General features: G+C 39.5%; 1 protein-coding gene across 1 annotated transcript in view; it reads left to right on the top strand.

The window, feature by feature from the left end:
• SMARCC1 (SWI/SNF related BAF chromatin remodeling complex subunit C1) overlaps nt 1-14,954 on the top strand; it is a 196,625-nt gene that overhangs the window by 90,319 nt on the left and 91,352 nt on the right. The window contains exons 13-17 of the mRNA NM_003074.4: nt 2,151-2,188; nt 5,405-5,526; nt 11,067-11,138; nt 13,264-13,377; nt 14,793-14,946. Of these exons, the coding sequence (NP_003065.3) occupies nt 2,151-2,188; nt 5,405-5,526; nt 11,067-11,138; nt 13,264-13,377; nt 14,793-14,946 (500 nt within the window). The remainder of the gene's footprint in view (nt 1-2,150; nt 2,189-5,404; nt 5,527-11,066; nt 11,139-13,263; nt 13,378-14,792; nt 14,947-14,954) is intronic.

Raw genomic sequence — 14,954 nt, 5'->3', positions numbered from 1 at the left:
TAGTGTGATCTTGGCTCACTGCAACCTCCACTTCCCAGGTTCAAGCAATTCTCTTACCTCAGCCTCCCAAGTAGCTGGGATTACAGGCGCCTGCCACCACTCCCGGCTAATTTTTGTATTTTTAGTAGAGACACGGTTTCACCATGTTGGCCAGGTTGGTCTTGAAATGCTGACCTCAGGCGACCCACCCACCTCGGCCTCCCAGAGTGCTGGGATTACAGGCGTGAGCCACCATGCCTGACCAGAGCTGTTGTTTTAACTGCTCTATATTCTGCCTTATATGCTACCTCATCAAATATAGGTCTTTCTTTCATTCTTCAGGTCTCTGAAGGAGATTCAGGTGTTTGGTGTGGAGCATATTTTCTCACATCTGAAAGGAGGAAGAGAACATTTATTGAATATTACCATTCAATAATATTAGGGATATTATTAATATTAGGGATCATATATAATTTAATATTATCAGAAGTATCTTCCCATTGAGTACCAAGACTACTTTGGGGAATGAAATTCGTCAGACTAAAAATGTGTAATTTGAGTAATGGGAGAGATTATTAAGTCAAACTAACAGTTTCTAGTAAGAGGTTGGTTATGCTATGGTTTACCATTGTCCAACGGACCAAGTGTTTGTTTTTGGCAGCCTTACCTAGATTTCTTTCTGTTAGTTACTTCCTACATAAAAATAGTCACTATGCAGAGCTGCAGAACTCCTACTGGTAATTAATACCATATTATTTCACATCCAGAATCACCTATTCCTTGTTAGCAAGTATTTGTGACTAACTCACACATTAAGCCACCGTGTCCATCTCTGGGTGGCATGAGTAGTTGTCAGGTCTTGTTCTACATGTGTTTGCACTTCACTATTAAACTGTTTTGTTTTATTGATGAGGAAATGGAGATTTAAAGAGGTTCAGTAACCTCTTTCCAAATATTTTGCAGAACCCCGATTTGGGTCCTGGTCTTACTTTCCTGCCAATGCTTTGTATCACTGCACTTGGCTGTTGTGGTTTGTCTATTTTGCTCAGCCTTTATTCATGTTCATAGTGGCTTTCTGTTTTGTGAAGTTACCAAGCCAATCCAACTGGAGGCCCTTTGATTTGGTTTCTTACTTTTTGTGGAATAATTACCTTGTCTTTCTCATCTCTTAACATTTCAGCTTAAAGGCCACCTTTTCAGAGACACCAGTTTACTTGCTCTGAAGTGTCCACCTACCCACTTCCTCTCTAATATGTTTATGTTTATTCTTTGTATAGCATTTTTCAAAATCTGATAAATTTCTGTTTATTTTTGCTATGTCCCGTACCAGCCACCAAAAGTGTTGGTATTATAGGTGTGAGCGACTGCACCCAACCCTTTTTCTTTTCTTTTCTTTTTTTTAATAAGAGACAAGATCTTGCTCTGTTGCCCAGGCTGGACTTCTACTCCTTGCCTTGAGTGAGTCTCCCACTTCAGTCTCCAGAGTATCTGGGACTGTAGATGTGCACTGCTGCACCCAGCATCCCATGTTCTTTTTGAACTTCATCATGCCTTACCTAGTGCCAGCGGTCACAGTAGTGATAAAAAGCTTAAATATTACAGGCATATAATAATGTAACTTGTTGTTCTTTAATACTACCTCTTTCCTATTCTGTACTGGCAGTTTTACTTTTCATTGTGGAAATCAACTGTCTAGTTTACAAATTTTACCTGGGCTTTCTTTCATGCTAAGCCCTCTATCCTCAGAAGGCATTGTCTTACTAAGATTAGTAAGGGATTGGTTATCACCCGTTTTTTTACTCATCATTCTTTACTCACTTCTTCTGAAACCCAAAATGTTGTTATTTTAGCAAAACTCAGGAGACAAGAATCGTAATCAAGTCCTGTATCTGTTATTAAGATCATGACTATGATATTAGCTCAAGTAGTAATTAATTGTAAATTCCCCACTGTTTGAAATTTTTAATGATCTTTGCTTTGAATTTCTAATTACCTCTGTGCTTCTGTGTAGAATTCTAATTTAGTGAATTATTCAGAGTGATTTTGCTTTAATAATGCACTATTTCATTCCTTTTCTCTGTCCAGTATCAGTTCTTAGACCATTAATTTTCCAAATAACCCAAAGAACATTTACCTGTTTTTAAAATGAATTGTGTGTTTTGGTTTTGCAGATGAGCAGGATGAAGAAACAGTCACAGCAGGAGGAAAGGTAACAATTCAGTTAAGCCTGGTGTGAGAGAGCTTCTCTAAGGGTCCTGTGTACCGAACAGTAGAAGCACTGAATTGGACATAACCCAATTTTTGGACTATGAAGCCCTTCTGGTTTTTGAATTTTTTTTTGTTTTTAGTTTTTCCCCTAAGGAAAACAAATACAATATAAGAACCATTTCTGGAAGGTGTTTTTGTTAGTTTTTTCTTTTGAGACAGGCTGTTGGTTCTCACTGTAACCTTGACCTCCTGGGCTCAGGTGATCCCCCTCCCACCTCAGCCTCCCGAGTAGCTGAGACTACTTGTGTGCACCACTACACCCAACTGATTTTTTTATTTTTTGTAGAGATGGAGTTTTTTATGTTGCCCAGGCTGGTTGCGAACTCCTGGGCTCAAGCAATCTGTCTGCCTCAGCCTCCCAAAGTGATGGCATTACAGGTGTCAGCCACTGCGCTCGGCAAAATACTTGACTTTCTTGGACCCCAAGATTTTACTTAGAGGAAATTTTTGTCCTCCCTGCTAGTGTCCCTCATGTGCTGTAATTTCTAGTTTCATACTCCCCTGGTTGCAAGGTAATATTCAGTGCCGACCACAGTATTTCAGATGTTATCCGACAGTGCAGATGAGCAGGGGCCATGTGTTGTCTTGATTTTTCTCACTGCCATTTCTATTGATGCAGTGTAGACTTTGAATCATACTTTGACCTTTCTTGAGCCTTATTGCGAGCTACTTCCTGCTTTATGAATTCTGCTGTAGCGATACCTCAATCATTATGCTTTTGGAACATGTTAGATTTAAGGTAGGATTTAATTTTTTAAAAATAAACGGCGTCTTGTTTACTCAGGCTATCATGTTTGACTGTGTGATTAACCCCCAATCTTCTTGAAATAATTTCCTTAACTTGCTGAATATAGATTTTTTTTTTCATTTGCAAAGAAATTCCCTAAGATGATCCTTATCATTGTTGTATACATTCAAGGATGAACATATGCATGACAGGATTTCCGGAAAAGTATTTCAAGAAACTCTTTTCTTATGACTCTTCACCTGTATTGTTCTTATGATTAAAAAAAAAAAAAAATCAAAGTTATTTAGTCAAAGAGCCACTTCTTTTTGTTTTGTTTTTTGAGATGGAGTTTCGCTCTTGTTGCCCAGGCTGGAGTGCAATGGCATGATCTAGGCTCACCACAACCTCCGCCTCCCGGGTTCTAGCGATTCTCCTGCCTCAGCCTCCGGAGTAGCTGGGATTACAGGCATGCACCACCACGCCCAGCTAATTTTTGTATTTTTAGTAGAGACAGAGTTTCACCATGTTGGTCAGGCTGGTCTCGAACTCCCGACCTTAGGTGATCCACCTGCCTCGGCCTCCCAAAGTGCTGGGATTACATGTGTGAGCCAACACACCCAGCCAAGAGCCACTTATTAATGAACATTACCTGTGCAAAAATATGTCATTATTTAGAGTAAATAGAGATTGGCACCTATGACGTCAGCATTTTGGAAAGCTGAGATGGGAGGATTGCTTGAGGTTAGGAATTACTATGCTGGCGTGAGCCAAAATCCTGCCACTGTGCTCTAGCCTGGGTGACAGTGCAAGACACTCTTTTTTTAATAAAAAGTGCTGAGTGCAGTGGCTTACGTCTGTAATCCTAGTTCTTTGAGAGGCCCAGGTGGGAGAATCACTTTTAGCCCAGGAGTTCAAAACCAGCCAGCACAACACAAGGATACTCTGCATCAACAAAAACTTAAAAGATTAGCTTGGTGTGGTGGCACCTGCCTATGGTCCCAGCTAAAAAGGAAAGTCAAATTCCTTCGTTTTAATGCCAAAGATAAGAGGATTTGAAGCCATATACCAGTCGTTTATATATCTTAAAAGGATTAGAGGTAGTGTCTCTAAAGCTGTCTCCCACAATGTCATCTTCCTTGTTGTTTTCTGATTGAAGTCATTAAAACTTATACTGTTGGCCTTCATTAATTGCAATGCCAGCCTCTTCCTGTTTTTTCTGAATAAGGGAAATTTTTTGTCTCCTAATGATTTGTAAAGTCTGTAACACAAAAATATATTAACTAAAGCCAAAATAAAAACAGGTGAACATTGAGAATATTTTTTGCTAGCTTCTGTGATTTGGGAAATAAAATTTGTTACCCTTGTCATCGTTAGTATCACATTTGTATTCAATATCATTTAAGTAATAACTAGAGTCCTTGGTGTTTTCATGCTTTAAATTTATTCCTTTTTACTATTCTTATAGAAACTGTTATAGGTAGTAACACTAGATCGTCACTTCAAATACTGTAACAGGAGATTTAGGTTGAATTAAGAAAAAGGTAGAAATTAAATTGTGGAACCATTGTAAAAGAAAACTGATTCAAAATTTGGGTTTTTGCTTATTTTATTTTTTTTTGAGGCAGGGTCTTGCCTAGACTGGAGTGCAGGGCAGTGGTGGAAACACAGCTCACTGTAGTCTTGACCTCCCATGCTCAAGCAATCTTGCTGACTTCAGCCTCTAAAGTAGCTGGGACTACAGGCATGTACCACTATGTCCAGCTAATTTCTAAATTTTTAGTAGAGACAAAGTCTGACTATGTTGCCCAGGCTGGTCCTGATCTTTTGGTCTCAAGTGATCCTCCTGCCTCAGCCTCCCAAGTGTTGGAATTACAGGCATGAGACACCTTGCCCAGCCCATAATTTGGTTTCTTAATAGAAAATAATTTCATTAGGTTACAAATAATAAAATCACCACAGAGAGAAAATTGTAAAACATTTCAATATCAAAAAAAGTATTTAAAATACGTTTAAATGTATGCAATAAAAATGTGTATCAAGTAAACATTTACTTCAGATTAAGTAAAACTGGACAAGGAAGAAGCAAGCTATTATGGAACGAGATCTGGGTTATGAGTTATTTATTTAGTCTGAAGTCCTGTGCATTGAAACAGACTTTCTTCAATCAACTTGTTAATCTTATTATGAGAGACCTACCTTCTCTGCATTGATTCCCTCATCATCATAAATGAGCAACAAAACCTTATCAGCTGGCTACCTTGTACCTTAAATACTGTGAAAGGTTGTTTTTACTTGAAATTTGTTTTTCAAATATCTGATCGAATCGGGGAGCTTCATTTTATTTAACCTAACAACTGAAGTGTAAGAGATGTTATATATATCTCTCTCTGTAGTTCTTTCTTTCTTTGAACTTTGTCTTCTTTTCTATAGGAAGATGAAGATCCTGCCAAAGGTGATCAGAGTCGATCAGTTGACCTTGGGGAAGATAATGTGACAGAGCAGACCAATCACATTATTATTCCTAGTTATGCATCATGGTTTGATTATAACTGGTGAGTGGACCACTTCCATCTGTGAGCATGGTACTGAGCAGTACAAGAACTTTCCTTGAAATCAGGTTGTGCCTTTCTGCCCATGTTCCTTATCAGAAATTACTATCACTTTGGATGAAGGGAGATGGAGAGTGATTTTTATCTTTGGAATGTGTTTGTGTTTTTTGTTTGTTTGTTTGTTTTGTTGTTGTTGAGACAGAGTCTTGCTTTGTCACCCTGGCTAGAATGCAGTGGTATGATCTCGACTCACTGCAACCTCTGCCTCCCGGTTTCAAGTGATTCTCTTGCTTCAGCCTCCTGAGTAGCTGGGATTACAGGTTCCCGCCGCCGTGCCAGGCTAATTTTTGTATTTTTAGTAGAGATGGGTTTCACCATCTTGGCCAGGGTGGTTTTGAACTCCTGACCTCGTGATCCACCTGCTTCAGCCTCCCAAAGTGCTGGGATTACAGGCGTGAGCCACCGCGCCTGGCTCGAATTTTTTTTTTTTTTTTTAAAGAAAAACAATTCAGGGATTGAAACTAGATTTTGTTGTAATTTAGGTTTGTAAAATTTTGTAAGCTTGAATCTAACTCATTTAGAATCAGCTATAATTCAAACAAGCAAATACTTGAGTAGTAGTATAAAATGTTTTAAATTATTATAAAAAGTTTTTAGTTACTTGAAATTAACTCTAGATTAAAAATACTAACTGAAAATTTCCAGAAGTAAACAATTCATAATTTTCCGTTGTGTGTTATTCTGAGTAGTGGGATGAAATCTTGCAGTTTCATGCCAGGAGTATGAATCATCCTTTTTTTTCAATGTAGACACACTGTACATGCTACCCACCTGTTAGTCATTTAGTATCCGTATCAGTTATTAGACTAGCTGTCAAGGGATTTCAGTGCTTCTGTTCAAGGAACCCCTATTTTAGTTAGTGGCCCCAATGCATAGAAGTAGTGATGGTGATAGTTCGGATACGCCAAAGTGAATGTATAAAGCGCTTCCTTTAAGTGAAAAGGTGAATGTTTCCGACTTAAAAAGAATTGTGTGCTGAGCTTGCTAAGATCTATGATAAGAACAAATCTTCTGTTCATGAAATTGTGTATAATAAATTGTTATACTTGTTCTTTTTTATTATTGGTTTTTGTTAATCTAGTCCTGTGTCTAATTTATAAATTAAACTTTGTCATAGGTATGTGTGTGTTTATGTGTATACGTAGGAAAAAACTTAATGGCCCTGTCCACAGTTTCAGGCATCCATTGGGGGTCTTGGAACACAAACTCCACAGATATGAAGGGACTACTTTATATAAAGGAAAAAAATTGCCCAGCATGGTGGCTTATGCCTGTAATCCCAGCACTTTGGGAGGCCGAGGTGGGCAGATCACCTGAGGTCAGCAGTTCAAGAATAGCCTGGCCAACCTGGTGAAACCCCGTCTCTATTAAAAATACAAAAAAATTAGCCAGGCGTGGTGGTGGGTGCCTGTAATCCCATCTACTTGGGAGGTTGAGGCAGGAGAATCGCTTGAACCCAGGAGGCAGAGGTTGCATTGAGCCGAGATCAAGCCATTGTACTCCAGCCTGGGCTACAAGAGCAATACTCTGTCTCCCAAAAAAAAAAAAAAATTACTACCCAATAATAGCTTTATTTTAATAGGAAATATTTTAACATCAGGAGGCTTTTAAAATATAAATCCTGGCATGTAAAAATGTTTAAGAAAACAGACCTCCTTAGCATCGTCTCTGATTTTTACAGCAAGCACTGTGGCATGCTTCGAGCATAGTTGGATGTAACTGGAGTACTGTCTTTTTTTTTTTTTTTTTTTTGAGACGGAGTCTCGCTCTGTCGCCCAGGCTGGACTGCAGTGGCGGGATCTCGGCTCACTGCAAGCTCCGCCTCCCGGGTTCACGCCATTCTCCTGCCTCAGCCTCCCAAGTAGCTGGGACTACAGGCGCCCGCCACTACGCCCGGCTAATTTTTTGTATTTTTAGTAGAGACGGGGTTTCACCGTGGTCTCGATCTCCTGACCTCGTGATCCGCCCGCCTCGGCCTCCCAAAGTGCTGGGATTACAGGCGTGAGCCACCGCGCCCGGCCGAGTACTGTCTTTTTTATTGATTGCTTATGAGATGTGACTATTTAATATTAGAATGATTTTTGTTTGTCTTTTTGTTTGTCTGTGCCTCGACTGTTTTGTTGTTGTTGTTTTTTTAAAAACATAAATACCAGAACTTACCACTCCAAATAGATGTTAGCATCTTTAAGGTACCTTTACAGGAAAGTTGTCTACATTGCTGATGCTGCCATTACTCAAAATCTTGGGTTTTTTTGTTTCTGTTTTTTTGAGACGGAGTCTCAGTCTGTTGCCCAGGCTGGAGTGCAGCGGCGCAATCTCGGCTCACCACCAGGCTGGTCTCGAACTCCTGACCTCAGGTGATCCACCCACCTTGGCCTCCCAAAGTGCTGGGATTACAGGTGTGAGCCACTGCGTCCGGCCAATCTTGGGGTACTTTTTATACCTTTTGCCTGCTCTCAATGATTACCGTGTTATTTTTAAAGGATGAATGTGATTTTTAAAATCCATGTATGTCCAGAAGTCTTTTTGGAGACAATTTAAAAGAATATAGTCAGTGATCCACTTGATATGCCTTATTTTTGTCTGACATCATTCTGTGGCTCAAATATTGAGACTTTCCTGAGTACATTTAAAACCAACTGAATAGGCCGGGCGCGATGGCTCACACCTGCAATCCCAGCACTTTTGGAGGCCAAGGCGGGTGGATCACGAGGTCAGGAGATTGAGACCATCCTGGCTAACACGGTGAAACCCCGTCTCTGCTAAAAATACGAAAAAAAAATGAGCCGGGCGTGGTGGCGGGCGCGTGTATTCCCAGCTACTCAGGAGGCTGAGGCAGGAGAATGGCGTGAACCCGGGAGGTGGAACTTGCAGTAAGCTGAGATCGCGCCACTGCACTCCAGCCTGGGCGACAGAGCGAGACTCCGTCTCAAAACAAAAACAAAAACAAAACAAAAAACGAATGCTATTTCTGGATGTTTTCAGTAAATACAACCTGGAACAGAATAAGTGCATATCTTTGAACATCAGTCTTCATTACATTTGTTACTCTCTTTAATTATTTTTAAACATTTGGAAGTGTCTCAGTCTTGTTATCTTTGCAATTATGTGTTTAACATTCAGAATTTTTAAACATTCACAATTTTGCTTTTGGCTCACAATAAAATTATGTTTATGTACTTTTAATGTAGCTTTTTGTCAGCTGACACCAATTTTTATATCATAAACAATTATTAATATATGACATACTAAATAGTAAACAGTAAATTACTTTTAAAAAACATATTCTATCTTTATATATTTTTGCTGTTTTAATTATTCCAAAATAGTGAGTTGTTCTGTTAAAATTGACAAACTTTAAAACTCGTTAGTACAATGGCCTAAGAGGACACACATGAGAAACCGGCATTCTTTTTCTCTAAAATTAGATAAAGGGGGCTGGTGCTATGGCTCTTGTCTGTAATCACAGCACTTTGAGAGGCTGAGGCTGGTGGGTCGCTTGAGCCCAAACATAGTGATACCCGTCTCTACAAAAAATTTTTTTAATTAACCAGGCGTGATGGCACATGCCTGTAGTCCCGGCTATCCTGGAGGCTGGGGCAGAAAGATTGCCTGAGCTTAGGAGTTCTAGGTTACAGTGAGCTAGCTATGATCTTGTCACTGAACTCCAGTTGTTGTTTGTTTTTTTTTTTTTTTTGAAACGGAGTCTTGCTCTGTCCCCCAGGCTGGAGTGCAGTGGCGCGATATCGGCTCACTGCAAGCTCCGCCTTCCGGGTTCACGCCATTCTCCCGTCTCAGCCTCCCGAGTAGCTGGGACTACAGGCACCCAACACCATGCCCGGCTAATTTTTTGTAGTTTTAGTAGAGACGGGGTTTCACCATGCTACCCAGGATGAGACCCTGTGTCTTAAAAAAAAAAAGTGTGTGTGTGAATTTCTTTTTAATTAAAAAATAAAATTAGAAAATGGAAAATCATTACAGTAAATAACTATGTAAGATTATAGTTTACAGAAACGTTTTCATTTGCCTGATCATCTTTGCATGTCACACTACATGCAGTTAAATAATAGAAATACTAGTTATGATACAGAATTTTTTTTAAAAGTGGGCCTTTCCTAACCTGTAACAATGAAAACATTAGGAGTTATATTAGAATTATGTAATTAGTTCCTTACGGTTATTCTTTTAAGAGTCATTATATATATTTATATAGCATTAATCCATCTTAGAAATTATCTTTCTAGAAGTTTGCCGGTAATTCATTGTATTTATAGTATTTGACCCTACAAATCCAATTTAATTTAAATGTTACCAAATATTCAAAAAGTGAATAATTTGAATTATATTCCCAGACCATTGATTTGCTCTTTGCCGTGCAACCACTACTTAACATGTTGCATATCTGGAAAGTCACTGAGAAACTAAAATGTCATCAGGAAGAAACACACACTTATATTAGCAGCAGAAACTTTGTGCTAGATATACAGTTTGTTCTTTTTTTACTGTTAGGCCTGATCATTTTACCTGATCTCTGCTTATGACCTGTAACATGTCATAAAATTATTAGCGTTTGCATATATTGTTAAAATGTACTTCTGTGATATTATTAAAAGCAATTGATAGTGAAATTTTTAAAAAAGTAATATATCTCCCCAGCACCTCCACCAAAAATAAAAACTAAAAAGTTATTAATTTATCACAGTGTTTCTGAGGGCTGGACAAAGGCTCATTTATGTTAACAGCCTGAGAAGCTGAGACTAGCAAATTCATTGTCTCTACTCTGGTCATTTGTTTCATCAGTTTGTTGCCATGCCGTGCCAGCTCCTTTGTTTTTGTCACCATTTTTCAAAGAATTCTTCATATCTTATGGCTTCTTATCTAGTTATGTTGTATTATCCCAAAAAATAATAAAATGTATAGTTTTCAGTGTGTCGATAGTAGTTTTTTAGTTTGGTTATGGGAATAGAAAAACTACAGTAAGTACTGGGAGTGAGAAAGAGAAAGCTTTCCTTAACTTTTTTGTATGCTGTTAATACATAGAAACTAGTGTAAGCCAATTAATTTTGGCAAGCAGTACTCAGGTTTTGGATTTATCACTTTTACTTAGAATATTTAATGATTTTATTCTTTTAAAAAGAACACTCCGGCCGGGCGCGGTGGCTCACGCCTGTAATCCCAGCACTTTGGGAGGCCGAGGCGGGCGGATCACGAGGTCAGGAGATCGAGACCATCCCAGCTAAAACAGTGAAACCCCGTCTCTACTAAAAATACAAAAAATTAGCCGGGCGTAGTGGCGGGCGCCTGTAGTCCCAGCTACTTGGGAGGCTGAGGCAGGAGAATGGCGTGAACCCGGGAGGCGGAGCTTGCAGTGAGCCGAGATCCCGCCACTGCACTCCAGCCTGGGCGACAGAGCGAGACTCCGTCTCAAAAAAAAAAAAAAAAAAAAAGAACACTCCTAAATCTTTTTTTCTTCTTCTTTTCAGTATTCATGTGATTGAACGGCGTGCTCTTCCTGAGTTCTTCAATGGAAAAAACAAATCCAAGACTCCAGAAATGTGAGGCCAGTGTTTTAGAAAACTTGTTTATTTGCCTGTGTGCGGTAGGGGCTCTTCAAGCATCCACCTGAGTTCCTTATTGCTGATTCTTGGAAGTTTGCAAATACTCCTTTCAGAACAGTGTTCATATCTCATTTGCATAGCATTCCATGGTACACAGGAAATTGTATCTAGTTTCGTTTTTTGTTTTGGGGGGTTTTTTTTGGTGTTTGTTTGAGACAGGGTCTCACTCTGTTGCCCAGGCTGTTGTGCAGTGTCATGATCTTGGCTCACAGAAATCTCTGCCCCCTGAACTCAAAGGATCCTCCCATCTCTGCCTCTTGAAGTAGCTGGGACTACAGGCACATGTCACCACACTTGGCTGATGTTTATTTATCTATCTATCTGTTTATTTTTTGGTGGAGACGGGGGTTTCACCATGTTGCCTAGAGTATTCTTTTATTTCTAAACCTTGAACTATATGCACATCAACTCTTAGAGTTAAAGTTTGGATTTTAAACCAATTTTTACTATAATGAATTCAGGTCTATCCTCACAACTTTCTTTTTCTTTCTTCCTTTTTTTTTTTTTTTTTTGAGATGGAGTCTCGCTCTGTCACTCAGACTGGAGTGCAGTGTTGCAATCTCAGCTAACTGCAGCCTCTGCCTCCTGGGTTCAAGCTATTCTCCTGCCTCAGCCTCCCACGTAGTTGAGACTACAGGCATGCACCACCACACCTGGCTAATTTTTGTATTTTTAGTAGAGATTGGGTTTCACCATGTTGGCCAGGCTTGTCTCGAACTCCTGACCTCAAGTGATCCACTTGCCTCGGCCTCTCAAAGTGCTAGGATTACAGGCGTGAGCCACCAAGCCCGGCCTGTCCTAACAACTTTCAACTTGTGTGTGAATGTATGTTTTGGATTGTTTCTATTCATCCAGGAGAAAATAGAATCTTTATCTTCCTGATGTGTGACTGCTAATTAAAAGAGAGATATGATGATATAGCTGCATGTGAATGGAGCTTAATTGCATAAAGGATTTTTGTGGTTTTGCATTGGAAATAGAAAAACTCTTATTGGAAGGAAGAAGTTTGGCCGGAAGTACTTTTTGTCTTTCCCTGGTGATTCATCAGTATATACTTCTGGAACCCTTGTCCCTATATATAAGTACATATCTGTCAATACTGTACATACCCTCCCATGTATTAATCAGGGTATTAATCTGTTACTTTTTTTTTTTTTTTTTGAGACAAAGTCATTCCGTCATGCAGGCTGGAGTTCAGTGGTGTGATCTTGGCTGCCTGCATTTTGTTTTCTTTGTGTGCCAAGAACTGTTGCTAGGTCTCAAAGTCCTTAACACTCTTGTTGTTAAGTACTATATTTTGTGACAGAAGTCCTTAGTATCTGCTGTAACAGAATCTCAATTTCTCTCTCCATTTTTGTATGTTCTTTTCTGAATTTGGTCTCATGGATTCTACTTATTGCCCCGCCGTGATCTCCCTTAAAGAACTGCTGTGAGAAATTACATAGCTATTTGCAGAGCCAAATCCACATGACATGTGTGAAATACAGAAGTGATAGGCAGCAGAGGTTGAGAGCATAGATTGAAGAGCTACCACACTGGCAGCATTGAATTCTGGCTCCATCAGTTACCAACCCTGTGGCTAGGACATATTCTCTAACAACTCAGTGTTTGTTTCCTCACCCATAAATGGGATGATAGCAGACCCTACCTGCAATATAGAGCGATTATGAGGATTCAATTGTCAGACATACATTGCTTATAACAGTGCCCTGTACACAGTAAAGTATAGATATGTGGTAGTGAGGCAGATAGCCTATGTAACCACGTGTTAGTTTCCAATTCTGCAGTTAACTACCACCATGACCAAGTTTGAATTTATGTTACTTCACATTAATGTCATTAGATTACTTGTTGTTATACATTAATAAACAGTTGTTTTGCATATTCGTGGTTCTAAATTCACTCATAACTTTAAATGTGCAATATAATATCAATGTTTTTTATGCTCTTGTCTTAATTTGTTGTTGTATTTTTAAGGAATCTGAAGATTTTTGAGTTTCTAAGTAACATTGTTTCTGAGAGGATACATGTCCACCTTATGAATTTTGCCATTGCTTTTTAGATACTTGGCATATCGAAATTTTATGATTGACACGTATCGTCTAAACCCCCAAGAGTATTTAACTAGCACTGCTTGTCGGAGGAACTTGACTGGAGATGTGTGTGCTGTGATGAGGTAAACTGTTTGACTTTTTCTGAGACATTTAACTGTAGGAATTTACTTATGCATGCTGTCTAATGTTTGCTTGATTAAACTGGTTGTTTCAACTGGGTAAAACACCTAATTTTAGTTATGCCATTTAGGGGTTGATTATATTTTGTTTCCTTTCATTTCATTCAATTTAATTATTTTATTTTTATTCTATTTTATTAATTTAATTTTATTGTCAAGATGGGGTTTCACAGTGTTGCCAAGGCTGGTCTCGATCTCCTGGCCTCAAGCGATTCTCCTGCCTCCGCCTCCCGAAGTATTGTGATTGCAGGCATGAGCACTGTGTTCAGCATTAGAGGTTGAAAATTTTAAATATTTAATTTAGGCTGGGTGCAGTGGCTTACACCTGTATTCCCAGCACTTCAAGAAGCCAAGATGGGCGGATCACCTGAGGTCAGGAGTTCGAGCCTGGCCAACATGGCGAAACCCCATCTTTACTAAAAATATAAAAATTAGCCAAGCGTGGTGGCACATGACTGTAATCTTAGCTATTGGGGAGGCTGAGGCAGGAGAACTCAGGAGACAGAGATTGCAGTGAGCTGAGATCGTCCCACTGCATTCCAGCCTGCGCAACAGAGCAAGATTGTGTCTCAAAAAAAAAAACACAAAATAAAATATTTAATTTAGCCTTCTAGATTTTACAGTTCACATTTTAAATTTTTTAGTCAAATCATAAAATAACCAGGGATGGAGTGGATTCAGGTTGGGAGTGGATAAGCTCTGCGCCCTAGCTCTGCCGAAATTAAAAAAAAAAAAAAAACGGCCAGGCATGGTGGCTCACACCTGTAATCCCAGCACTTTGGGAGGCCGAGGTGGGTAGATCACCTGAGGTCAGGAGTTCGAGACCAGTCTGGCCAACATGGCGAAAACCCATTTCTACTAAAAATACAAAAAATTAGCTGCGCATGGTGATGGTCACCTGTAATCCCAGCTACTTGGGAGGCTGAGGCAGGAGAATCTCTTGAACCAAGGATGCGGAGGAGGTTGCAGTGAGCTGAGATCGCACCATTGCACTCCAGCCTTAGAGACAGAGCGAGACTCTGTCACGAAAAATGCGGATTTTTTTAATGTGTGTATTTGGTCTATGTGTGAGTTCTTTTATTACCATGGACCTAAATGCGTATTCGTGCTCTCATTTCTGTGATTGAAATGATTAGGCTTTGTAATAGGTTTGGGGGTGCTGTGTTATCAACATTACTTGTGGCTTGTAGAAATTGTTCGTCACATAACAAAATCTGTCAAGTAGTTTGTGATGTTTGACAGCCTGCTGAGCACATTTACTGGTTTTATTGTTTCTGTTTTTTAATGGCATGATGATGATAGTAAAAGCACATGAAGTTGATTCTTTAGATTTTAACTTTCCGAGCTTTATTCTTTAGGGTCCATGCCTTTTTAGAGCAGTGGGGACTCGTTAATTACCAAGTTGACCCGGAAAGTAGACCCATGGCAATGGGACCTCCTCCTACTCCTCATTTTAATGTATTAGCTGATACCCCCTCTGGGCTTGTGCCTCTGCATCTTCGATCACCTCAGGTAAATTA

This window comes from Homo sapiens, chromosome 3 (assembly GCF_000001405.40).
Source record: "Homo sapiens chromosome 3, GRCh38.p14 Primary Assembly".
Taxonomy (NCBI): domain Eukaryota; kingdom Metazoa; phylum Chordata; class Mammalia; order Primates; family Hominidae; genus Homo; species Homo sapiens.
The sequence above is the reverse complement of the archived record's forward strand: the minus strand, read 5'-3'. Positions and strand labels throughout refer to the sequence as shown.